At 44.4% G+C, this 25,910-nt stretch overlaps 1 protein-coding gene and 1 long non-coding RNA gene across 4 annotated transcripts in view, besides 9 other annotated features; one reads left to right on the forward strand and one right to left on the reverse strand.

Moving 5' to 3' along the window:
• The first annotated feature begins 2,845 nt into the window (after nucleotides 1-2,845).
• Nucleotides 2,846-25,910, forward strand: part of THSD4 (thrombospondin type 1 domain containing 4) — a 686,490-nt gene continuing 663,425 nt past the window's right edge. Inside the window, exon 1 of one of the 2 annotated variants that reach the window (NM_001394532.1) lies at nucleotides 2,846-2,958. The gene's annotated coding sequence lies outside the window, so the exon portion shown is untranslated. Of the gene's footprint in view, nucleotides 2,959-21,422; nucleotides 21,651-25,910 lie in introns of those variants that run through there. The other variant, NM_024817.3, reaches the window with a different exon arrangement.
• Nucleotides 9,086-9,155: an enhancer, noted in NCBI's record as "active region_9702". NCBI's record gives its function as "activates an Ori minimal core promoter by ATAC-STARR-seq in GM12878 lymphoblastoid cells {active_cell/tissue: GM12878}" and the evidence as "EXISTENCE:reporter gene assay evidence [ECO:0000049][PMID:35858748]".
• Nucleotides 9,326-9,375: an enhancer, noted in NCBI's record as "active region_9703". NCBI's record gives its function as "activates an Ori minimal core promoter by ATAC-STARR-seq in GM12878 lymphoblastoid cells {active_cell/tissue: GM12878}" and the evidence as "EXISTENCE:reporter gene assay evidence [ECO:0000049][PMID:35858748]".
• Nucleotides 9,516-9,625: an enhancer, noted in NCBI's record as "active region_9704". NCBI's record gives its function as "activates an Ori minimal core promoter by ATAC-STARR-seq in GM12878 lymphoblastoid cells {active_cell/tissue: GM12878}" and the evidence as "EXISTENCE:reporter gene assay evidence [ECO:0000049][PMID:35858748]".
• CT62 (cancer/testis associated 62) lies at nucleotides 16,196-21,456 on the reverse strand. Of its 2 annotated transcripts, none has more exons than NR_168259.1 (4): nucleotides 21,081-21,456; nucleotides 19,587-19,715; nucleotides 18,100-18,246; nucleotides 16,196-17,378 (listed from the first exon to the last, which is right to left on the reverse strand). It is a non-coding gene; the product is annotated as a cancer/testis associated 62 (long non-coding RNA). The 2 variants fall into 2 exon arrangements; NR_168260.1 differs by having other exon boundaries at nucleotides 19,583-19,715; nucleotides 20,876-21,456.
• Nucleotides 21,237-21,286: a silencer, noted in NCBI's record as "silent region_6610". NCBI's record gives its function as "represses an Ori minimal core promoter by ATAC-STARR-seq in GM12878 lymphoblastoid cells {active_cell/tissue: GM12878}" and the evidence as "EXISTENCE:reporter gene assay evidence [ECO:0000049][PMID:35858748]".
• Nucleotides 21,323-21,500: a silencer, noted in NCBI's record as "fragment chr15:71407710-71407887 (GRCh37/hg19 assembly coordinates)". NCBI's record gives its function as "represses an EF-1alpha promoter that drives an FKBP-Casp9 reporter gene in an ReSE screen in K562 erythroleukemia cells {active_cell/tissue: K562}" and the evidence as "EXISTENCE:reporter gene assay evidence [ECO:0000049][PMID:32094911]".
• Nucleotides 21,323-21,576: a biological region, named in NCBI's record as "ReSE screen-validated silencer GRCh37_chr15:71407710-71407887".
• Nucleotides 21,347-21,406: a silencer, noted in NCBI's record as "silent region_6611". NCBI's record gives its function as "represses an Ori minimal core promoter by ATAC-STARR-seq in GM12878 lymphoblastoid cells {active_cell/tissue: GM12878}" and the evidence as "EXISTENCE:reporter gene assay evidence [ECO:0000049][PMID:35858748]".
• Nucleotides 21,437-21,576: a silencer, noted in NCBI's record as "silent region_6612". NCBI's record gives its function as "represses an Ori minimal core promoter by ATAC-STARR-seq in GM12878 lymphoblastoid cells {active_cell/tissue: GM12878}" and the evidence as "EXISTENCE:reporter gene assay evidence [ECO:0000049][PMID:35858748]".
• Nucleotides 21,727-21,816: a silencer, noted in NCBI's record as "silent region_6613". NCBI's record gives its function as "represses an Ori minimal core promoter by ATAC-STARR-seq in GM12878 lymphoblastoid cells {active_cell/tissue: GM12878}" and the evidence as "EXISTENCE:reporter gene assay evidence [ECO:0000049][PMID:35858748]".

Below are 25,910 nucleotides of genomic sequence, written 5' to 3' on the forward strand. Positions count from 1 at the left end.
CTGGAACAACTTTGAGAGTGAAAGGAGGTCACTATTAATAGTGACACTGGGGCCTCAGATGTAAACTAGGATTGTCTTGGGCACACAGGGACTTATGGTTGCCCTAATGCTAGGGTCAGTCTATTGAAGGGGCCAATGATGATAGCCTGACCCTTGCCACAGCCCTGACACTTGCCACATAACAGTAGGGAGTGGTAATGAGGCAGTCACTCAATATAGCTCAGAACATAAGACCTTCTGGTAGGGTCTTCACTGGGGGTGGGGGATGGTGCTTCATGAACTCCTGAAACTTGTCTTCCCTTGGCTGCCAAAGGCCTCCCTCCCTTCTCTCATCTTCCTCTTTCCATGGGGATGAGGGAGGTACCGTGAGGCCGGGACACAGATGTCCATGTGCTCTCCAAATGTCTTGGGGGAGGGGAGAAAACTATAACTCTTGGAAATTTGATAGAATTGTCAAAAGAATATAATCAGCTACATACATTGTTTAACCAAAGTTGTAGTTCTATGATAAAAGATAAAAATTTTCTTTTATGAGAATAAAATACCTAGGAATCCAACTTACAAGGGATGTGAAGGACCTCTTCAAGGAGAACTACAAACCACTGCTCAAGGAAATAAAAGAGGATACAAACAAATGGAAGAACATTCCATGCTCATGGGTAGAAAGAATCAATATTGTGAAAATGGCCATACTGCTCAAGGTAATTTATAGATTCAATGCCATCCCCATCAAGCTACCAATGACTTTCTTCACAGAATTGGAAAAAACTACTTTAAAGTTCATATGGAACCAAAAAAGAGCCCACATCGCCAAGTCAATCCTAAGCCAGAAGAACAAAGCTGGAGGCATCACACTACCTGACTTCAAACTATACTACAAGGCTACAGTCACCAAAACAGCATGGTACTGGTACCAAAACAGAGATATAGATCAATGGAACAGAACAGAGCCCTCAGAAATAATGCCGCATATCTACAACTATCTGATCTTTGACAAACCTGAGAAAAACAAGCAATGGGGAAAGGATTCCCTATTTAATAAATGGTGCTGGGAAAACTGGCTAGCCATATGTAGAAAGCTGAAACTGGATCCCTTCCTTACACCTTATACAAAAATCAATTCAAGATGGATTAAGGACTTAAACGTTAGACCTAACATCATAAAAACCCTAGAAGAAAACCTAGGCATTACCATTCAGGACATAGGCATGGGCAAGGACTTCATGTCTAAAACACCAAAAGCAATGGCAACAAAAGCCAAAATTGACAAATGGGATCTAATTAAACTAAAGAGCTTCTGCACAGCAAAAGAAACTACCATCAGAGTGAACAGGCAACCTACAAAATGGGAGAAAATTTTCGCAACCTACTCATCGGACAAAGGGCTAATATCCAGAATCTACAATGAACTCAAACAAATTTACAAGAAAAAAACAAACAACCCCATCAAAAAGTGGGTGAAGGACATGAACAGACACTTCTCAAAAGAAGACATTTATGCAGCCAAAAAACACATGAAAAAATGCTCATCATCACTGGCCATCAGAGAAATGCAAATCAAAACCACAATGAGATACCATCTCACACCAGTTAGAATGGCAATCATTAAAAAGTCAGGAAACAACAGGTGCTGGAGAGGATGTGGAGAAATAGGAACACTTTTACACTGTTGGTGGGACTGTAAACTAGTTCAACCATTGTGGAAGTCAGTGTGGCGATTCCTCAGGGATCTGGAACTGGAAATACCATTTGACCCAGCCATCCCATTAATGGGTATATACCCAAAGGACTATAAATCATGCTGCTATAAAGACACATGCACACGTATGTTTATTGCGGCATTATTCACAATAGCAAAGACTTGGAACCAACCCAAATGTCCAACAATGATAGACTGGATTAAGAAAATGTGGCACATATACACCATGGAATACTATGCAGCCATAAAAAATGATGAGTTCATGTCCTTTGTAGGGACATGGATGAAATTGGAAATCATCATTCTCAGTAAACTATTGCAAGAACAAAAAACCAAACACCGCATATTCTCACTCATAGGTGGGAATTGAACAATGAGATCACATGGTCACAGGAAGGGGAATATCACGCTCTGGGGACTGTTGTGGGGTGGAGGGAGGGGGGAGGGATAGCATTGGGAGATATACCTAATGCTAGATGACGAGTTAGTGGGTGCAGCGCACCAGCATGGCACATGTATACATATGTAACTAACCTGCACAATGTGCACATGTACCCTAAAACTTAAAGTATAATAAAAAAAATGGCAAAAAAAAAAATTTTCTTTTATATTAGCACTAACCATTACCATTTCAATATAATCCCCTAAGGTAATTACAATATACATTTGATCCTGCTTGGTTTCCAACCCAGTCCCTCTAGTCTGTGCCCTCCTACCTCTCTGGGGACTTTTCTCCATATTTAAAAACAAACCAACAAAAAATCATCTCTTGACCCTGAGTTTCTCTCTCAACCTGTATCTAGATGAGTATAAATGCAATACCTTTCATTTTCTCCCACCTCCTTTATACTCTAACCCTGTTGTAATCTGGCCTTCTAGCATTTCCACATTTTTGTGTTTCAGACTAGATGGAAGAGCTGCTGTAACCTCACTCAGTGTGGTTCACAATAGGCTCAGATGAGCTAAGCCATTCCGAACATCATATTTCTAAGGAAAGCCAACTGGTTTTTTAAGAAGCAAACTGATTCCAAGTTGGTTAAAACCTGCTTACATTGATTCTAATCAGGTCAAGCCAACCTTCCTGGGTCATATTGGGTAAAGCCAGCTCAAACAGGATAAAACAGTCCCAAACTGACACATCAGATTCCAAGCAGTTCCTGCTGATCGAGACCAGATAAGCCTGCATCTAACTTGTCCTTACTGGATCAGACCAACGTGAATTGAATCACAGCAGTTCAGAAAGAGGAAACTGGATTCAGGCAAGTGATATTGCTTTATATTAGGGGAAAACAGTGTAAAGTGATTCTTAGTAGAGCAAACAGATCCTAATGAAATTAAAATGGTTTAAAGTCACATTTGTCAAAATAGGCTGATTCAAACTGGATCAAATCAGCTCTGATTTCAATAGCTTTTCCTTTGTTTGGGAAAAGTTATTGAAACTATTCAACCAGCTTTGAATAGTTTAAACCAGATCAACCTGGCAGCATTGCTAAATAGCTTCAAAAATATGTTATTAACTATTTATTGAGGTGAAAGGCTGGGCACGGTGGTTGACGCCTGTAATACCAGCACTTTGGGAGGCTGAGACGGGTGGATTGCTTGAGCACAGGAGTTCGCAACCAGCCTGAGCAACATGGTGAAACCCCGTCTCTACAAAAAATACAAAAATTAGCCAGACAGTGGTGGCGTATGCCTGTGGTCCCAGCTACTCCGGAGGCTAAGGTTAGTGGATTGCTTGAGCCTACGAGGTCAAGGTTGCCGTCAGCCAAGATAGCACCTCTGCACTCCAGCCTGAGTGACAAAGCAAGACTCTGTCTCGAAAAAAAAAAACAACAACAACCAAATGAGACAACAAAGAAGCCTCTTTATTGAGGGGGAAAAAAGAGACAGATAGGTTACAGATGTTGTTATACGTTATATCTTATAATTTACATTTTGCTTTCATAGGTCACAGAAAGATGTATATATATATATATATATATTTTTTTTTTTAAGTCCAAAGCAAACTCTTTCCTGATTCATCACACAATCTGTAATGTTCATTGCTCTATAGATTACTCTTGACACTAAAATTATTTCTTACACTGATCACTGTCGTGTGTTTTAATGAAACTGAGGCAAGTTTTTTGCCAAAAAAATTTTCCCCCAATTATCTAGGTATGAGCGTCCCTCTGTGGGAATAAACTTCATGCCCAGTGCTGACCTTCTCGCAGTGATGTTTTTGGGGAAACATCTTTTTTCACAGGGACAATACACTTGCATTACTTCATAGGAGCCAGACCCACAATAGGACACATTTTCAAAGAGAAATTGTTTCTCCAGATCTGTGAGCACACTGTGTCCCAAGGCAGTGCTGCTTTTATAGTAAATATGTTGACTATGTGAGCTGCGGAACAGTTCTTCTATAACCTGAATATAACTTTCCAATAAAAATTCTTTCACTTTTTTTTTTTTTTTTTTTTTTTTGGGGGGAGAGAAGGTCCCGCTCTGTCACCCAGGCTAGAGTGCCATGATCATGGCTCACTGCAACCTCATCTTCCTGGGCTCAGGTGATCTTCCCACCTCAGCCTCTCGAGTAGCTGGGACTATAGGCCCGTGCCACCACCACCCAGCTAGGTTTTTTGTATTTTTGTAGAGATGGGATTTTGTAATTTTTGTATTTTTGTAGAGACATGATTTCATAATTTGTGTATTTTTGTAGAGACAGGATTTTGCCATATTGTCCAGGCTGGTCTTAAATTGCTGGGCTCAAGCGATTGGCCTGCCTTGGCCTCCCAGAGTGCTATGATTACAGGTTTGAGCCACTGCACCTGGCCCCACATTTTTTATTTAAAAAATTTATGAACTAGATCATCATTGGGTATAGGGACATTCATCATTTTTACTTAGTTGCAACTTCCTGGCTGATGGGCAGTGCGAAAATGAATGCAGAATTATGTTGACTGCCTGGGAGACACCTGGACTGATATATAATATACTCATCCAAATGGTAAACTAGTGCAGAAGTGGAAGAAAACATGTAGAGACTCAATAAGAATACAAGTTAAGTTACAATGCAATTAATAGTCAAACTGAAGTAGAAAGGTAATTTATATTAACTACATTAAAAATATATATATTTCCCAGGCAGAAAATATTGGATTTTGTGTTTCAAAATCAGACACCTGCAAGCCTAAAATCCAGGTCTGATCCAATCAAACTTGCTTGAATACTTGTATGCAAATAAAATTTGTTCTCAATTGTTTAAACTGGTTGCAATTGGATTACAATGAGAACTACCTTTTCATTTCAGTTTGCACTCACCAAGGTCTCACAGCGACCTTTAAGAGAGTCAGGGATGGGTTAGAGGGTGAAGTAAGAAAATGCCTCCTACTCCACCCCATGACCACCACTTTTATATTTCTCTGGCCACAGACCTTGCCTCCTGGTGGTCTGGGGAAGAGTTGTATTGTGCATCAGATGCCCAAAATGTTCCATGTACACTTGAAAGAAATGTGTATTCTGCCACTGGGTGGACCTGTAAATGTCCATTAGAATCAATTAGTTGGTGGTGTTGCTCAGTTCTTCAATGTCTTTGCTGATTTTCTGTCTACTTATACTATCAGTTACTGAGGGGAGAGCTTTGATGTCTTCAACTTTATGGGCTTGTCATTTCTCCATTCAGTTCTATCAGTTTTTGGATTTTGTATTCTGAAATTCTATTGTTAGGTATACATACATTTAGGATTGCTATGTTTTCACAGTGAATTGGCTCTTTTGATTATTATGCAATGTGTCCTCTTTATCCTTGGTAATTTTCCTTGTTCTAAAGTTGATTTTAATAATAAAATTATATTCCAGGTTTCTTTTGATTAGTGATTATATGGTTTAGCTTTCTTTCCATATTTTAATTTTTATTCTGATCATAAATATATTATTATATTTAAAGTGGATTTTGCTGGGCATGGTGGCTCACACCTGCAACCCCAGCACTTTGGGAGGCCAAGGGGGGCAGATCGCTTGAACCCAGGGATTTGAGACCAGCCTGGACAACATGGTGAAACCCCTTCCCTACAAAAAATACAAAAATTAGCCGGTCGTGGTGGCACACACCTGTGGTTCCATTGGGAGGCAGAGGTGGAAGAATCACCTGAGCCCAGGAAGTCAGGGTTGCAGTGAGCTGTGATTGTGCCACATACAGTCATCCGGCCTGGGTGACAGTTTTCTTTGTTTGTTTGTTTTGAATTGAGATACTGTCTCAAAAAATTAAAACATAATAAAGTGAGTTTCTCTTAGGCAGTATGTAGTTGTTTCTTAGTTTTCTTTGTTTGTTTGCTTTGAATTCATTCAGTCTCTGTCTTTTAACTGGTAGGTCTGTTGGACAGACTCCAAAATGGCCTCTATTGAGTCCTACCTCTTGGATTTATATTGTTGTTTAATCTCCACTCCTTAAGTATGAACAGGTTTGGAGAGGTCCTGTGAGTTGTTTCCAACCAATAGAATATGGTAAGGTGATGGAATGTCACTTTTGTGATTGTGCTATCTAAGATTGTAACTTCTGTCTTGCTAGCAGTTTTTCTCCATAGACTCACTCTCTTCCTGGCTTTGATGAAGTAAGTTGCCATGTTGGGGAGGCTCACATGGCAAGAAACTGAGGCCTTCAATCCAACAGCCCAAAAGAAATGAAATTGTCTGAACAACTGTGCTTGCAAGCTTAGAATCAGATTTTTCCCCAGTAAAGCCTTCAAATGTGACCTCAGCCCTGGCCAACACCTTGGTTGTAGGTACATGAAAGACCCTGGGGCAGAGGACCTAGTTTAGCCATGCCTGCATTCCTGACCCACAGAAACTGAGATAATAAACATATGTTCTTTTGAGCTAAGTTTGTGATAATTTGTTACATAGAAACAGATATCTAATATTTATATCATTTATGTGTTTATACCATTTAAATTTAATGTAAGAATTGAGGGCTGGGTGCAGTGGCTCATGACTGTAATTCCAGCACTTTGGGAGGCTAAGGTAGATGGATCACTTGAGCCCAGGAGTTTGAGACCAGCCTGGGCCACATGGCAAAACCCTGTCTCTACAAAAAAATACAAAAATAGCCAGGCATGGTGGCCTGCACACCTGTGGTCTCAGCTACTCTGGAGGCTGAGGTTGGAGAATCACCGGAGCCTGGGAGGTTAAGGTTGCAGTGAGCCATGATCACACCACTGCCCTTCATCCTGGGTGACACAGTGAGACGCTGTCACACAAAAAAATAAATAAAAATAAAAAGTAAAATAAAAAATAAAATAAAATAAAATAAAATTGATATGTTTGTACTTAGATCACCATTTTATCACATATTTTATGTTTGTTTCTTCTGATTTTCATTTTCCCTTTCCTACTTTCTTCTGAAATATTTGAATATCTTTGTCTTCTATTTTAATTTTCTATTGATATTTTTACTATATCTCTGGGAAAAAAATTTTAGTAGCTGTTCTAGAGATTACAGTATATGGTCTGCTATTATATTACTATTATATTTTATAATTTCAAGAGGAGTACTCAATTCTTGCATTAAATTTAAATGGTATAAACACATAAATGATATAAATATTAGATCTTCTCACCATATAGGTACCTTTGGCATCCCCTGTTTACGTAGTCATCATAGTATTATGTATTATGATGACTACATACATTGAAAATTCCATCAGTCAATGTTACAATTTGTGCTTTCACATATTTCAAAGAACTTAAAATCTATTATATTTTTCCAGGTATCTACCATTTCAGTTGCTCTTATTTCATTACTATTGTTAAAGTTTCCCTCGATTTAATTTCCTTGTAGTCTGAAGAATTCTCCTTAGCATTTCTTATGGAACAAGTCTGGTATCAAGGAATTTTCTTACTTTATCTGAGAATGTCCTTATTTCATTGTCATTCATGAACGATATTTCCACTGGATATAAGATTCTGGATTGGTAGTTTTCTTTTCTTTTTTATTTTTTTTTTTTGAGACAGAGTCTCACTCTGTAGCCCAGACTAGAGTGCAGTGGCATGATCTCAGCTCACTGCAACCTCCATCTCCCAGGCTCAAGCGATTCTCGTGCCTCAGCCTCCTGAGTAGCTGGGACTACGGGTGCATGCCACCACGACTGGCTAATTTTTTGTATTTTCGTAGAGACGGGGTTTCACCATGTTGCCCAGGGTGGTCTTGAACTCCTGAGCTCAGGTGATCCGCCCCCTTGGCCGCCCAAAGTGCTGGGATTACAGGCATGAGCCACTGTGGAGGGCCGATAATTCTTTTCTTTCTGTATGTTAAAAATGTTATTCTACTTCCCTCCAGCTTCCATGGTTTCTGATGAGAAATGCACAGTCATTTAAATAATTGTTTCTCTACCTGAAATGAGTCATTTATCTTTGATTGCTTTCAGGATATTTTCTTTATTTTAATAGTTTTCATAAGTTTGATTATAATGTGTGGATGTCTTTGATTTTATCCTGTTTGGGATTCACTGAGTTTCTTCAATTTCCATGTTCATGTCTTTTGTGAAATGTGATGTTTTTCCACCATTATTTCTTAAAATATTTTTTTCCCATTCAACATCCTTTTTCTTTTCCTTCTAGGAGTGTAATGACACAAATATTAAACTTTTTGGTATTTTTTCCCACAGGCCCCTAAGGTTCTGCTGGGTTTCTTTTTCAATTTTCTTTCCTTTGTTGTTCAGATTAGATAATTTCTATTGATCTATCTTTAAGTTAATTTTTCATCCAGTTAATCTGAAATTTAAGTTAGTGTCCTTCTCTTTTTCTGTTCTAATATTTCCATTTGGTTTGTTTTTATATCTTCCTTTTTTTTAAATTTTGAGACAGTTTTGCTTTTGTTGCCCAGGCTGGAGTACAATGGTGTGATCTTGGCTCACTGCAACCTCCACCTCCCGGATTTAAGAGATTCTTCTGCCTCAGCCTCCTGAATAGCTGGGATTACAGATGCCTGCCACCATGCCCAGCTAATTTTTTGTATTTTTAGTGGAAACAGGGTTTCACTATGTTGCCAAGGCTGATCTCGAACTCCTGATCTCAGGTGATCCACTTGCCTTGGCCTCCCAAAGTGCTGGGATTACAGGTGTGAGCCACTCCACTAGGCCTGTTTTTATATCTTCTTTTTTCCCCCCTGAGAATTTCGGTATTTCCATTTGTTTCAGGAGCACTTTCCCTTACTTTATGGAACATGGTTATAATTGCTGCTTTAAAAAATGTTTGGTAATTCTAACATCTGTATCTTCTCAGGGTTAGTGTCTGTTGATTGTCTCGTTCCTTGTCAGTTGAGACTTTCATGGTTCTTCATATGCTGAGTAATTTGGGATTATATCCTAGACATTTTGAATATTACAGGACCCCAGGTCTGACTTAAATCCTAAAAAGAAGGCTTTTTTTTTTTTTTGAAGCAGGAAATGAAACAGATTATATTATTTTTGCGAGTCCAAACCTGCCTCTTGGGCTGTGGTTTCAATATCATTTCTGATTTCAGAGTGCAGTGCTATTCAGATCAGTCCTGTGTGTGTGCCACCCAGTGGCCAATCATGGGCCTGGACTGGGGTCTACCTTGCAGTTTCAGTTCTCCAAACATGTGGTATGGTGTTTAGGATCAGATCCATACATGTGTAGCCTGGAGGTGAGCCCAGGAGCTAAAACATAAGTTTGTGGGATTTCTGACTTAAGCTCCCTACTCTCCGTGATCTCCCCAACACCCTCTGGCTCCTTGGGGCCTCCCTTTTCAGCCCTCCAGTGAGCAAGCTTGGGCTTCAGTTTCTCTGCTCTGCCACACTTACCATGACTGTTTCTGTGTTTGGAGTCAAGTGGCAGGAGGAGAAAGGTGAAAAAAAAAGGAAGAAAGATTTGCCACACACTCTTGTGAACACTGCTCCTCCAGTCAAACAGAATAATTCCCCTCTCTTGGAATCTTAGATGACTGCCTAGCTCCACTCCCACCCCCTCAGCCTCTGCCACCACCACTGCTGCTACAATATTGCCTGTGGGCTGAGGCTGGAAAGAAGGAAAAAAAAAAACACCAGGAGTTCCCCTGCACCCCACTCTCTCTCTGACTCTTCAGAATCTCCTTTCTTGTGTTTTAGAGAGGACTTCTCTTGCAGCTCTTTCTGTCTTCCTCTGGTGCACACTTCCAGCTTTATGGCTGCCTTTTAGTCTAGGCTGGCTGATACTGGGAGGGAAAAAAATTCACTACTGATTTAGTGGGACTTTGAATTCTGGTCTTCTTCCCAAAGCCACCTGCTATGATTTATGTTTCAGAACTCTCAGATAGCTCCTCCATCCATTCTGTCCAGGATTTATAGTTACATTTAGTGTGTCCTTACTTATTCCATCTTTTCTGGAATAAGGCTCTCTTTTTGCTTTTTAAATCATCAATCATTTGCTATGTGGGAAATGATATCTTTGTTTATATGTATGGCATTTATTGTCTCCCCCACCCCCGGCCCCTGCAAAGTTTCATAAAAAACAAAACTTATTGACCAGCAATAACTCTTTATTATATGGCCGGAAAGAATTAGGCAATCCATCTGGAGAAAACAGACTGTTTCTCTTCGCTCACACAATACTTCTGACAGCAAATGTGTGGGGCTTTTTCTCCATCCCAAGAAGTTCTCCAATTCTGCTCCCATCAGCTGCATGCCCTACGATTTAATTCGATTTTGACACTGTCTACCTGGAGCTAAGCATCAGATCCCACAGGGTTAGTTCTCAGTCTCACAAGATTGCCCTGTTAATGGAAAAACCAAACTCTGAAAATATTTTAAAGAGGTTTCTTCTGAGCCAATATGAGTGACCATGGCCTAGAGAACACAGTCTCAATAGGTCCTGAGAAAGTGTGTCTGTGGCAGTCAGATTACAGTTTGGTTGTATAAATTTTAGGGAGGCAGGAGTTATAGGCAAAGACATAAATTCACACATGGAAGGTATACACTGGTTCGGCCCGAAAAGGTGTGATATCTTGAAGTGGGAGTTTACAGGTTATAGGCGGATTCAGAGATTCTTTAATTTGCAATTGGTTAAAGGAGTAGAGCTTTGTGTAAAAATTTGGAGTCAACAGAAAAGAAAGTTTTAAGTTAAGATAAGGAAGTATGTGAACCAATATTCGAGGTCAGAGTGACCCGTAGGGCTGAGTGACTTAGCCCTTGTCCGGCACGGCCTTATGTCCTCTTTATAATTTGATATCTTATTGTCACAAGGAGTCTGTTTTGTTAGTCTTATGGTCTGTATTTTAATATTAATGGTGGTCAGTTGTGCCTAAACTCCAAAAGGGTGGGGATATATCACCTCCCTTTGTGTCATGCTGGGAATTCCATTTTTAAGGATTTTCTAGGGTCCCCTTAGCCAAGAGGGGGTCTGTTCAGCTGTTGAGGGGCTTAGGATTTTATTTTTAGTTTTCAGCCTCTACTTCAGATGTCAATCACCAGGCCAGGTCTCTAGTACTTTTGACCAACCAGCTGCAAATTGGGGTTTCCCCTACCCACCTTCTCAGCAATACTTTGCTGGGATAGCTCACAGAACTCAGGCCATTTACTCGTTTATTATAAAGGATACAGATGAAGACTTAGGTGAGGTCTAGAAGGGTCCAAAGCATAGGAGCTTTTGTCCCTGTAGAATTGGGGTACCCCTCTCTCCCAGAGTTTTCATAGAATTTAATTTCCTCCCATCCCATTCCTGGAGGTCAGTGGGTAGGGCTGAAAGTTTCAACCTTCTAATCCCTTAGTTTTTCTGGTGTTGAGTCCCATCCTGAGGCTATCTGGGGTCCTACCCTAAATTACCTCATTAGCATAAACTCAGGTGTGCTCCAAAGAGGCTCCTTAAGAATAAGAAAGGACACCTCATGACTGAGGAAATTCCAAGGGTTTTAGATTCTCTGTGCCAGGACCACGGACAAAGACCAAATATACTTCTTATCACACTACACTATCCTATTTTCTTTTCCTCTACATTTCATCCTATTTTCTGAGTCCACAATTAGAGGCATTCCACCCAAAGACGAATTCTCAAAGGAACAAATTCACACCAAGATTGAACCACAACCTCACCTGGCCTGCACAATGCCTTCAATTGTTTTTCTGGCTTGCATTTTCCCCTCTTATATTAATAGAGAAAAAAAGAGCATTCCAGGGCCATGAGCCCTCTTGAGATGTTGAGCTTGAATGATTGGGAAGATGATAGCTCCTCATCCAGATATGGAGTATGGAATAGGAAAGAGGGTTTGGGGGGTGGGACAGGAAGTGATATGTTCTATCCATAACACATTGCACTTGAAGCACCTGCCAAAATATCCGGGAAATGGGAGCCTGGAGGTGAGGGTCAAAGGCCAGACTTAGGTGGCATAAAGAATGACTTGGAATAAATTATTGTGGAAGGTCTACAGGAGAAAATTATTATGGGAGGACAGGGTGTGTATCATGGTGAGAGAAGAGGGCCAGGGATCTCGTGCACAGTGTGCTTAACCTTCAAATTGCAAGGACTTCCCACTGTGACGCAGGCCTCAGTTCTACACAGCTGCTCTTCAAGACCACTCCCACTACTGTGCCTCCCCACCATTCCTGAGTATTCTCCACTCCCAGAGCCTGATGACTTTCCCTAAGCTCCCACCTTCAGTACACAGATTGGCCTTTATCTCAAAGGCAGAACTGGTATTTGGGTACCATGGCAGATCTGTTGGGGGAGTTTTTTCAGATTTTCCTGATTCTGGCCCCTGGTGGAGAAAAATGATCTGGGGTAAAGTTGCAGCCTGCCTGACCCATGCAGGAATTTATCCCTTAACTTGGGCCTACTAATCAGCACAATTACCTCTGAACACTAAAATAACAAGGCTTTCTGATCACTTTACCATTGCCAAGTTGTATTTACAAATGTCATCATACTTTATTGTATCAACCATTATATCAGTCATGGTATGCTAGGTTTTGCTGCAGTAACAAACTCAAATCTCAGTGGGAGATTTGATGCTGTACATTCAAAGAATGGTGGGGGTGCTTACAGATCACAGTCCTCTGAGACCCAGGCTAACCAAGGATTCCACAACCCTAGCACCAGTGGGAAGGAACACGATGATTTGTACATTGAGTCTTAAAGCAGCTACCAGCTTTAAAAAAAAAAAAAATTTAAAAAGAGAAGTCACATTCCATTTGCCACAGCAAGTCACCTGGCCACATTTAACTTCAAAGGGAGGGGAAGTGAAATCTCGTCCCTGAAGGCGAATTGGTGAACTTGAGTCATGATTACCACAACCATGCCCTCTAAAATCATTATAGCCACATGACAGTTGAAAAACTCAGACTAGTAAGTCACTTTTCCAAGTCACACAGTCAGGAAGTTAGCACAGCAAGGCTCCAAGTGCACATTTGTTTAACTCTAAAACCAATGTGCCTTTCACAACCTGATGTGCTGTCTTCATGAAACCGTTATCCAGAAGAAAGTTCTTATTAGCTTCAAGGAAACTTCAGATGCTGACAAGTAAAAAGTTTGACATGTGCAATTAACTTAATCAATCAAAAAGAAACAATGTGTTCCTGTTTTCTTTCCTTTTGCAATTACCTGTTTTTAGAAGGAAGGAAAGAAGGAAAGAAAAGAAAGAAAGAAGGAAAGAGAGAAGGAAGGAAGGAGAAAAAGAAAAGAAAGAAAGAAAGCAAAAGAAAAGAAAGAAAGCAAAAGAAAAAAAGAAGAGAAGAAAAGGAAAAAGAAAAGAAAGGAAAGAAAAAGAAACCAAGCCTTTTGGCCCACCCTTTGACCTACACCACAATATCTGATTGCATGTCAGGGTGATTTGGTTTCTTTCCCATTGTGTGGTATTTTCCACTCACAGGACTGGGTCAGGAGAAGTTTGTATCTTAATCTACACGCTTGTTCTTGCTCATGTTTGCCTCTGCTTGATCCCATACCCTTCATTCATCCTTTGGAATGTTCCCGTGACAACGGAAGAATGGCAATATAGCTAGCCAGAAAAAAGGGACGGACCAAGAACAGACCAACTTCTCTCAGACTGAGGATGCTAATGGGGAAGGCACAGGACATGAGAGTGTTTTCTCCCCATTTTCCCCCTTGAGAGAATTCAGCAGTTAGTGAGTGTCAAGCCTGCTCTGCAGATGAGGAAACTGAGGCTCAGCAGGGTTAAGCCACTGCTCAAGGTCATAAGGCTAGTACCCAGATGAAAACCAGCTGCTATTATTTTTTCCTGAATCACTGCTTCGTTTTCTGTCCATTCCACTCTGCAACCTTCCATCTCTCCTCCTAGGAAACCTGCGCCCAAAGCATGCAGCCAATGCAGGGCTCCTCTGCCTCCTCTGATGTCTTCCACCTCCATGTGGCCTGCTTGCTGGCAGATACAAGGATAGGTGCAGCTCTTTACAATGGAGACATTGAGATGAGGTGGCCACTGTAGGGCTCAGGCTGCTGGGGCCTGGAGGTGGGAGCTGTCCCAGTGCTATGGAAGAAATGCTTCTCAGGCCTCAAAACTGTTCCTGAACAAACCCAAGGTTCATAGAAGATGAATTCTGGCAAGAGGCTGAGTTCTGGAAAGCGGCATGAATAGTAGCAGAGACTGGGGTCCACATTGCTGGGCTAAGCTTTGGGACAAGCCCATGAGGGAAAACCCACAAGGCTTCTTCTTAACTCCAAAGAAGAAAAATAATAACCTGATTAGATTAAATATGCTTTGAGCCGGGAAGATCCTTAGCTTTAACATGTATGATATTTGGAATTCAAGATGTCCTAAGTAGTTTCCATGGCTATTTCTGACAGCCTGAAGCCCCTGGTTTTCTCCACCCATGGACTTCCAAGGGACAGGACAATGGGGAGGGGGCTCACTGGAATAGCTCAAGGCCCACCAGATGGGTTCCTATTTCTGATTGACCACATTCTCACGGTGTGAATGTCTGCAACTCATTTTTTCCCCTGGGCCTCTGTTTTTTAATCTGAATAAGAGAAAATAGGGCCGGGCGTGGTAGCTCACGCCTGTAATCCCAGCACTTTGGGAGGCTGAGGCAGGCAGATCATGAGGTCAAGCGATGGAGACCATCCTGGCCAGCATGGTGAAACCCCATCTCTACTAAAAAAATACAAAAATTAGCTGGGTGTGGTGGCATGTGCCTGTAGTCCCAGCTACTCAGGAGGCTGAGGCAGGAGAATTTCTTGAATGTGAGAGGCGGAGGTTGCAGTGAGCCAAGATCGCACCACTGCACTCCAGCCTGGGCAACAGAGTGAGACTCCGTCTCAAACAAACAAACAAACAAACAAAAAAACAAACAAAAAAACAAAAAGAGAAAATACTCTCTTCCACCTCTAGAATTCTGAGATTTTTAAATAAAGAAAGATGAACTTAGGAAGAAGCTGGTCCTGAACACTGATCCTGTAGCTTCTGGATGAACACCTAATACCAGAGGAATAGAGGAGCCATTTCAGGGTCACCCACTCAGGTGTTCTCTCATCCTACCCAAGTCAACAAACAGCAGCTCTATCAATGTCTTCATGACTCAAGACACATCGTGGGGAGTTTTGTCTGTAAGCCATGATGTGGCACTAGAGCTGCATGGTAATTCTCTGCATTACAGGGAATAAAAGAAGCTATTCCAAATGCAGCTTGAAATTTTTAAAAAAGAAGTCACATACTTCTCTGAGTATGTCATCTTTTCCCAGATGGATCCAAAACGAGCCACATAATTTCCCTGTTGCAGAGTTTCTGAGAGATTCGTGGATCTGAGAACTGGAAGGGGCTATACAAGTTGGTGTGAGCCCGTCCCATTCTCTCCCAACAGGTATAATTAGGTTCTTGCCATTCCATAGGGGAGGCGACTGCAGTTTGGAGGTTGGTGACTTCTACGATGGGATGGCCAGAGAGCAATGGCGGTGTAGTGTTTGGGGGACTGACTGCTTTCTTTTATGACACCAAACTGCTGCTCATAAGCAAAAGTGTCCACCATCACACACAGAGTGGTGAAAGGAAACACTAAAAGAGAAAAAAAAAAAAAAGGAACGTGGGACCCAGGAACACTCTGGCAGCACTGTCTGGTGAGCCGCTACAACTAGCACATAGTAGGTGGTCTGTGTGCTGAAGAGAGGCAGGATGAAGGTGAGTGAGGCAAGGCAAAGCCATGAACTTGGAGACCGTGTGACTTTGTCGTTTGTAGTGCCCTGGTTTTATACATAAGCCATATCTGGCCAGTGTTCATTGGATATGCCCTATCTCTGAGATTTTATAAAAATTAATTCATTCAACAAGAAAGCCGGTTTGCTGAAGAGGGAAAATTGCCAACAAGGCCAAGGTGACAGCAATTTCAAGCACAATGTAAGCTGATTAGCCTCAAACAGAGAAGCTGCTTCCTGGCTGAGCTCTCCCACCCTGCTCCAGTTGTCTTGGAGATTTGCAGTCCTGGTCACAAGGGGTACCAGGCGGCAGTGTGAGCAATGGGTGAAGGACAGGACCTCATTATGAGAGTCTCCCAGGAAGGAAAAGGCAGACGCAGGATATTCTTTCAGAATGATGGATTTGCTTAAGTTTGCATTTATTTTTTTCATTACAAGAGAATTGTGGAATGATGCTTTTGCATTACCTTTTTTGAAAAATAAGAAATGTTCTTTTTCTCCCTCTCCCTTTGGAAAAACACAGATCTGATTACGTCAGTCCCTGCTTAAACCCCCTTAGAGGCTTCCTCTTGCTCATTTGAAAATGACAGAACTCATAAAAACGGCCATAAGCATCACTGGCATTGAATGGAATTGCACAGCACTCCTTTCTCAATTGTTAATAAAATGACATACTTCCATATCAGCTGATCAACAGCCACTACGTCAAGCTGTCCCCTACTTCTTCCACCCTGGGAACACTGGGCCTCCCCAAGGCCTCCAGGACAGCAGCGGGCTCCAGGGCCTGCTCTAGCCAGTGTCCTGTATCTGCTCTCTTTTGTGGACTCTGAAGCCACACAGCCCTTCTGCTCCTGGAGAGTCCCCTGCCTTCCTCAGGGTCTTTGCAAAGGTGTTTCCTTCTGTCTAGAACAGTCTCCCACGCTGTCCCCTTTGACTTTGGGTGACTTTTCTCATCCTTCCTTTAGTCGTTCATAGTTGGCTTCAATAAATGAAGGATAGACGGGAAAGTGACTGATCAGCCATGCTTGAGAAGAGGAGGCCCTGGGCGTATGCCGTAGATCTCCATTGTCTAGGCCTAGTTAATCATCGCCGGAAGAAGAAAGGGAGGCTGTGGACTGGAGGCTGCCAGCCCCGCCTTCTCCTTCTGTCTGCATGTCCTAAGGAGAAGCAGCCTCGGATCCGGGTGATGCCTCTTGGCTGTGAGTATTATCATTTGCAAAGAGGAAAAGGGGAAATAATCTGAATATCTGGGATTCCAAAAGTTGTCTTGTACCAGGTAACAAGAACCTTCCTATCTCCTCTGACCAGATGTGGGGTGAGAAAGAGGATGAGAGCAAGTGTGAAGCAGAAAAGGGAAAGAGAAGGAGATAACCTGAAGTGTGGCCTGAAGACTCCCTGACACTTCATGGGAATCCTTGACATTCCGTCTGGAAACCATTTTGCTCATGTCCTCAGAGCTGTGGCTGCAGAATTTTCTCTTGCCCAGTTGTGGGTTACAGGTCAAGTAGAGAGTCAGCCCCAGGCAAGGGCACAGGAACTCAGACTGTAGGTCAGCATTCCAGAGTTCCTGGAGGAGGAAGAAAAAGGACTGGGTTAAGGAGGCAAGCAGGGGAGGGAATCTACCCTGAGATTTTTAGAAACAGCTCAAAATAACAGCAAGTTGACCAACTCTCAAAGTGTTTTGTTTTGTTTACCATGCCTCCCTTATTTTCTTATTATTTGCTGGGCACAGGCTTGCCTTGACTTTACAGTCTGCATAAGTTTACAACCAGGAAAATGAAAGGAACAATTTTACAAGCATCGTGATGGATCCTGGTACCTCCTTCAGAGCTTGAAATTAGGGGTTTGAATGTAGGTCCATTTTCATCCCACTTCCAAATGCTAGCAACGTAGGGAATTATACGGGGGTTTCCTTTCCTGCTGGGACACAATTCTCTGAAGCACAGTTAGGATGAAAACACGAGGTTTGTAAGAGCTGAGAGCAGTGTTTTTCAAAGTGCAATTTTCAGAACTCTAGGCCCAAGAGATGTTTCGCTGGTAAAAGGATTCCACGTCAAATACATTTGGGACACTCTGCATCATCTCTCCCCTCTCAGGCAATCTCAGTGCTTATAAGTAAGAAAACTGTGTTCCCCATAAGTTTCCCCCCAAAGGGTCCAGCTGTCCTGCATTGCCTTCCTGTAATCTGTTCACACGTTGCTCTTATTCCAGTTCCACATGCCCTGAACTCCCAGAAGGTTGCTCTCAGCAGTGAGCCATTCATTCCTCAGAGATTTGGGAGCCCTCACCACGTGCAGACGCTGTGCTGCAGGCTGGGAACCACAGGAGAAATGGCTGAATGTTCTGTGGGTGTGGCTGTAGGCAGAGGGCTGATCAGTGAGGTGGGGTGGTGACAGTCTTCTATAGGATGTCGTATGCATCATTTATCAACTTAACTAGGACAAGAGAATGAAGGGGGGTACTATTAATAATTAATTAATAATTATAATAGGACAACAGGTGTAAGCTAGAGCTGTCTTACATAGACAGAACTGACACATGACAGAAGAGTTATGTTTCTTGTCTGTCCCTTTAGGAGCTGCCTCTAGGGCCAGTGGATAATAATTACAGGGCAAAAGGTTTCAAGTCAAAATTAAAAGGGAATTTCTAACAAAGAGCCTCTAAGAACAATGTGGCTATTTTATGAGGTAGTGAGTAGCTCACCACATCAGATATGCAAAGGGGTGACCCACCCTCCAAGATGCTGTGTATAGCTGACACTGACATGCCAGGCAGGCCCCCAGCCTAGGTAAGCACAGGCTAGCCTTTGACTGTGATCTGAAGCACATATTCTTGGCTCTCTCTTTCGGTGAGGGTCAGTAAGCTATTTTATATGCAAGGACCACATTCTGCTCTTCTGATTCATACGTGACAGACACATTTGGATAAAAGCAGAAATATAACAGGACTGAAAGATTAAAACTTGCTGTCTTAGCATACTTAATATTCACTGATGCTTACACATAATGTAAATATCTCTTTGTTTAAAATGAGTATAGGCTGGTCTCTGTGGCTCACGCCTGTAATCTCAGCACTTTGGGAGGCCAAGAACGGAGGATCACTTGAGCTCAGGAGTTTGAGACCAGCCTGGGCAACACAGCAATACCTCCTTTCTACTAAAAATAAAAAATGAAAAAAAAATTAGTCAAATGTGGTGGCGCACGCCTGTAGTCTCAGCTACCTGGGAGGCCGCAGTGAGAGGATTGCTTGAGCCCAGGAGGTGGAGCCTGCAGTGAGCTGCAATCATGCCACTGCACCCCAGCCTGGGTGACAGAGCAAGACACTCTCTCAAAATAAATAAACAAATAAAACAAGTATTATCTTGACTTTAAAGAAAGAGACTTTCTTGTGACATATAAGCAAAATATGGTCAAAACAATTTGACCAAGGTTGAAAATGGACTGGAATCACTTCTAAGGAGCCAGCCTAGGTCTGTCGAATCAAGTTTGCTCACTAATAATCATACTTTGGTTATGTCGGATGTTAACATTAGAGGAAGAGGGTGGGGGATATAAGGGGATTCTTTGTACTATTTGTGAAACTTGTCTAAAATTATTTCAAAATTAAAAAATAACAAACAAAACCACATCCTTTGCTCCTGAGCCCTGTTCGCCCCAGACATTATGTGATGAACTCACTCCGTTCTTTAAGATCCAGCTCTGCAGAGCATCTCAGATTCCCTGTCCTGAGGCAGGTACTCCTGTATGAGCTCTTAAATACTTCTGCATTTACCTACCACCTACTGGTATGGTTTTCTGACTATATTTCATCTTCTTCGCCTCACGTGGAGTTTCTTTTAGAATGGAAAGTTTTCTTCCTTTCCTCTTTGAATCCTAGCACCAAGGCCACACTCGGCACTGAATACCTGTCTCGAATGAATGAATAAATCAATCTTGTTTGAACAAATCTTATTAGTTTTGCTTTTTTAAAATTATGGTAAAATGTACATAACATAAAAATTTCCATTTTAACCATTTTTAAGTGTATAATTCAGTGACATTAAGTACATTCTAAAGTTGCGCAGGTTTTTTTTTTTAAATCAGTTCTAAATGGTTTAAACTGGCCAGTATTTACTAGAGCTGTTAGATCGACTTAATTTGGACCCATGAGACTCGTGACACTCAGAATTAATCTAATCCCATTTACACCAGGTGCCTCCCATCAAAATCTGTTTGATCAAGTGTGGAATTATTTCATCCCATTGGAACCAGCTCTTGAATCAATCAGAACTGGCTCTGCCAGGCTCCGGGCCAGTAGTCGGTGCTCAAAATGGTGTTTCTTTCTTTGGCCTAATCTCTTGAGTAGCCTCTTTCCCTTTTGTTAATTTTTTTTTTTTTCTGGAGGACAATCTTCCCTGGGAGCTCCCTTCTGCTCCCACGAAGCGCTCTGCACCCAGCCCTGGTGCTGCCTGGCTCTGGGGCAGGGAGCTTGCATTCTGCCACCTCCTTCATTGTCCTCTCGGTATACCTGCACTTTCAAAACAACCCCTGCAGGCAAGCTTTAGAGGCAGCGATAAACAAACAGGCTGACTGAAATTTAGGGAAACGCCTGTATCTGGACAGCCTCTTCAAATATTTGTCACCCCCTCCCTGCTCTGGGGAAAGAAGAGACAGTTCCTCACAGTCACTCTATTTCCTGCCTTCCCAGCTCTGAACACCTTGGCTCGAATGTAAAGAATTTGGCTCTGAATTAGGACTCAAGAAACGGGGCCCTAGCAATTTTCCCTCCATTAACTAAACGCGTCACTTTGGTCATGCCCTTTTGGGGGCAATAATTTCCCAATTCGTAAAATGAAGGGATCAAAGTTTGATTTTTATCATTACTAATGAGAAGAATTATTATTTTTTTGCAGCAGGCTTTTTTTTCCCCAACAAAATATTACTCTGAATAAGACAAGAAAGAATCCCGAACGGCTCTGGCCGTCAGGGTGTGTGTGTCTCCTCCCCATGCTGTCTAACCCCCGTTGGAATTTGGAGGGCTCTTGTCCTTTCCCCTTGGCCTCAGAAGGAGCCCAGCGCGTCCTACCTTGCGTGGGAGTGTGTGTGTGACCAGGGCTCCTTCCTGCCCTTAGAGTCACCGCCCCCTTCTCGCACAGGTTTACAGCACCACTTGCCTCGCCCACTCCCCGCTTTGCCTCCGCCCCATCCTGATGCTGCCGGAATGGCTGTTCCAAATGGAAGGATGCCCGCGTCCGTCCCCTGCCCCAGTCCTTCAACAGGTCCCCACAGACCTCAGGATAAGATGAACGCGGAATTCAGGGCCTGGTCTCAACCGCCCTCTCCCTTTTCCTCTCACTTAGACGACCCTGGCCAGCTGGGCCACTCTCCACTCTCGCCCCCTCCCGCCCTCGTGGCCTCTGTCTAGACCGTACTCCCTCCTACTGGGTGATGTCTCTTCCCCTGGGACCCAGGGACCATCCCGTTGTTGACCTCCGGGGTCAGGGGTGCGGATGGGGGCCGGCCCTTCCCGCGGTCGCCGCCAGGGGGCGGCAGGAGCGGCTCCAGATGACAGCGGGAGGCCGCAAGAGGGGAGGGAGGAAGGACCGAGGGAGCGCGGATCCCGCTCTCGGATCGCAAACTCTGAGCCAGAGCTCTCCGCGCGCGCCTGAACCGCTGGCCGCCCGCGCAGCCCGACGCGGAATCGGGGCACAGCGGGAGCCCGTGCAGGGCGGGCGCGGGGCGGCTGGGCGGCGGTGGCGGCCGTCCATGCGGCGGCGCTCGGGGCTGCCCGGCGCCGGGAACCACGCGGGGGCGAGGCGAGGCGAGGCGGCCGCCGGTCGCTCCGGGACGCGGACCGCCAGGTGAGCAGAGCCGCGCGCCCCGCGTCCCCTGCGCGCCGCCCGCGCGGCCCCGACCCGGCTTCCGCTGCCCAGGCTCCGGCTCCCGCTCTCTGGCCGGCGGGGCGGGCTGGCGCGGGCTACCCAGTGGGTGTGTCCGGGGCGCCGCGGGCTGCGCCGCTCCGGGCTCGGGGAGCCAGCGCGCGCCTGGTCCGTGCGGACGGCTGCGCCTCCTTCTCTGGTTCTCTTCCTTGCTGGGAGTCTTGCTCTGTGCTGGCGCCGGCGCTCATCCCTCCACCCTCGACTCTAGGGACAGTCTTAAACTCTAGGGACAATCCACCTCAGTCGTCCCCGGGTCGGGGCCCCGTGCTCCCCGGGTCGGGTCGGAGGGGACCGGCGAGTGCACACCCAGCCCGTGCGCCCCCCACCTCAGCCTCGCCTCCCTCCCGCCTGGGGCCCGAGAGCCGGGCAAGTCTCGGTCAGCGCTCCTTGAGTCCTGGCCTGGGGCCTCGGATCTGTGTGTCTGTCTGTCTCAGTTTAGTTGCTGCAACCCAGCGAGCGCCTGGAGCCCGAGTGGATGGGTTGTTTCCGCCAACTCTGGACACTTCCTCAAGTGCAGCCTAAGTACCTGCGGCCCCTTGGCGCACTTACAGAAGTAGCTTTTGCACAGCGAGCTCACCTTGGAGCTCTACAGATCTGGAAGTTAAGTTTTCTTTTTATTTGAAATAACATCAGCCCTCACTTGGGAAGGGGATTTTAGGGCGTTCTCGGGCCCACCTAAGTATCTGGAATTTGTGGTCTAGTAAGTTTTTTAAGCAGTCCGCACCCAGCACCGTACCTCCCAGCCTCCTTTGCCGTCTTACTAAAAGTGCATGCTTGCTTCTCTTCCTGTCTCCTTTGCGATCTCTACCACGCTGCGCTTCGCCCTTTTCGGGCTATGAGTCTAAAGCTTGGACGTGGGTAGCAATCATTGGATGCCTGTTGGAATTTGGAATTAGAGAAATAGATACCCGAGAGAGATCTAAGGAATCGCCTTGTCCAACCCTCCTTTCACAGTTGGAGGCACCCAGGACCCCTGACAGTCTGAAGATTTTTCAAGGATCACACAGCTTTTAAAATCCGCGTGTCTTCTACTTGATTAATATTGTTGGAGGTGATGGAGTAACTGGGCTTACTAGGGTCTTACTGGGTCTCAATATACAAAGAAGCAAACATTTTAAAAATGTGACTTAAAATACGGAACTCTTCAATTCCTATAGATTTTTGTTGGCATCATAGTTGAATTCCTTTAGAAAACAAAATCCTAGCCCTGAAATTAATGTGAGGAAGCAAGCAGATGGGCGTCCTGGGACTTTCCTATAAATCTCTGCAGGGCTGGAGCAGGGATTTCCCAGAGGTCTGGGCCTGGGAAATGAGTTTGGGTGATCAGGATACTGGAGCCCCTTCTGAATAAGCAACTGGGTTGGTTTCTTGTGGGGAGGCTGGCCAGTGGAACTCATGTGATCTCCTCTGTGCCCAGCACTGGGCGGGGCACCAGCTTGGCATTACCTTCTTTTTAGTCTCCTATGCCATAAAGAAATATTTCTTACTGGCTGTTAGCGAAAGAAAAATACAGCCCAGAGTTTGGGAGGAAGATCAGGGGTGGGGAGATTTTTGACTTGGAGTTTGTTTTTGTTTTTGCCTCGAAAAACTTGTGGAGATTGCAATCAGTTATCCTACACAGAGGCTGTGTATTGCCGTCTTCTCCATCCCCCACATTTCTCTCCATGGTACCACTTTTATCCTAATTGCTGGGAGTCTCAATGTTTAAATGTTCCCAACACTCCCATTCTGTCCCCCACATTTATAGCTCATTCATCGCAAAATCTCTTCCACATTCTTTTGTGATATCTGAGGAATTATTTACCTGTCTCCATTCCCACTGCCCCCACCTTCAACCATGTCCAAATTACAGTAATAATCTCCCCTCTTGACTCCCAGCCACGAGTTGCTTTCTTCATTTTAATCCATCTTCTTTCATGCTGATAGATTAATATTTCTGAAATTCTGATTTCACCACATCATTTCTCTCAAGAAATCACAATGGCTCCCCAGTATTCACTTCTATTTAATTTATCTCCAACAGATATTTCTGAGCGTCTGCTATGTGCCAGGGACTGTTACTATGTGCCAGGGACTGTTACTATGTGCTGGAGCTTACGCTATGAACAAGACAATATCATTGCCTTCAGGGAGTCCACAGGCTAGCAGATGATAAATAACCACCCAGGGGAGAAAGGGAAGTAAAGAAATAACCGCAATACAAGGGGGATGTGCAAAACATCAAGGAGATGCGAATGAGGGAGAAATTGATTCTGCATGGGAGGAGCTAGGGCAGTTACCACTGGGCTTTGAAGCCTAAGGAGGAGTTCAAGGAGATGGGAAAGGCTGGTGGGGAGGGAGGACAGGCCAAGCAGAGGAAAGAGCTCGAGGAAAGACTGAAAGATAGGAAAGTACTGTATGGACACGGTTGAATCCAGGTTACTTTTCATCAGGGCATTTAAAATGTTTCCTAATCCCAGTCTACTTTATTGATCCAAGAGCCATCCCAACGCCTTCCTGCTTGAAGGCCATCCCTCCACTCACCCAGTCTCTATCATGGTCTTATCTGCCCTCCCCACACCTCCCATCCCCAGCTCAGAAATTCAGATTTCCCCTCTTCTGATCTAAATTTTGCCAGGCAGTGTATCCCACCCAGCCTTTCTTGCACACACTCCTGTGTCTCTTCCCTGCATTCTTTGTGCCTGCTCTATGTTCAGCCTGGATGAGCCTCGCCTCCCCAGCCACTCTGAGGTTTCCCCCGAGCAGCCTCCTTGGGCCTCTCCAGGTCATGGAACACACTGTCCTCATGTTAGTGGCCCCAGCACACTTGAAAGCACATGACTATTTGCCTGGGTTTGACCCCTCATCTCACTTTTCTCTTCTCTCTCCTCTTCTTTCTGGTTTTCCCATCTTTTTCTTTGCGTGTGTATGCAGAATCGTGATGTTTACTTATGCGCAGATATAAAGGTTTCATGTGTATTTGTTGAATATCCTCGCTGTGAAAATGGATTAAAAATGTTATGCTGGAAGCCAACACATGATGCAGGCTGACGCAGGTGAGGAGAAGATTCAGGGGAAGCTCTGGCTTTAGGCTGCTTTGCTGCCTCTGGCCCCCTCTTGGGATCCCCCAATTTTACTCCTCCTCCGCAGGACCGCTGTGCTGAGGCTGGGACACCCCTTCATCATCTAGGCCTGTTTTGCTCTCTTTTCCTCCTCCTGTCAAAACTTACTTCTGTGCCCACAGCCTCGCTGGCTTGTTAGCCTCACTGGGGCCATGCTTAGTGAGCACTGGTGTGTGCAATGCTTGGGGCTTTCAGTGGTTTCTCTTTTAATCCTCCCAGCCACCTAGAAGGGAGACATCAGCATCTGCCTTGTACAGGAAGAAAGTTGAGGCTTACTTGCCTGAGGTCAGCAGCTCAGGTTTGGAGCTGAAATCTTAAACCCAGCTCTCTAAATCTGGTGTTCTTTCCACTATATCATTATTTCCTGAAACAGTTGTCTTAGGAACATCTGAATCAAAATTCAGATCTGGTGAAAGAAAACACAGGCTCCAGGGTGGAAGCAGGGCTCGAGAACTGGCGTTTTTAAGATTACCTCAGGCGATTCTTCCGCACACCCAGGTTTGGGGACCACTGCCCTGGGCTTCCTTTACAATGTGGTTCTAGCGACAGGTGGTGGGTTAATACGCCACTTTATCCCAGGCAGCATGTTCCTTTTTGACAGAGGCCCTGACTTTGACTCTAAGGAGTGAGCAATGGAGAGTTGTGGCCAAGGCCAGGAAGAGGGTCCTCTCTTTTGGCCCGAGGGGTCTTTAGTTCAGTCCTGAAGGCCCAGCCCCCTCAGCTTACTCGAAGGCATGTAAACCCACCTGCCACCAGACTCACTGTGAATTTCTTTTGGGACCTGAGCGAGTGCTCAGGGAGAAAGACCAGGGTGGGTTTGTTCAAGAGCCCCAAGTTGCTTGGTTTGGGACCCCCCGAATAGGGCTGGACAGGCAAAGCCAGCCCCTTCCTCCCTGCAGGCACGGTGAGTTGAACCTCCTTTCCCAGAATGGGATCTGGCCGTTGACAGATCTCTTTCATTCAACTGGCCTTGCTCCACTTCCTACCCACCCAGCCTCAGTTTCCCCATGTGTAACAAGAGGATGGCCAAAGTCTGGAGGGCTGGTGGGGGACCAGTGCATGGGTATGCAGAGCTTAAGGC

This window comes from Homo sapiens, chromosome 15, assembly GCF_000001405.40.
Source record: "Homo sapiens chromosome 15, GRCh38.p14 Primary Assembly".
Lineage (NCBI taxonomy): Eukaryota > Metazoa > Chordata > Mammalia > Primates > Hominidae > Homo > Homo sapiens.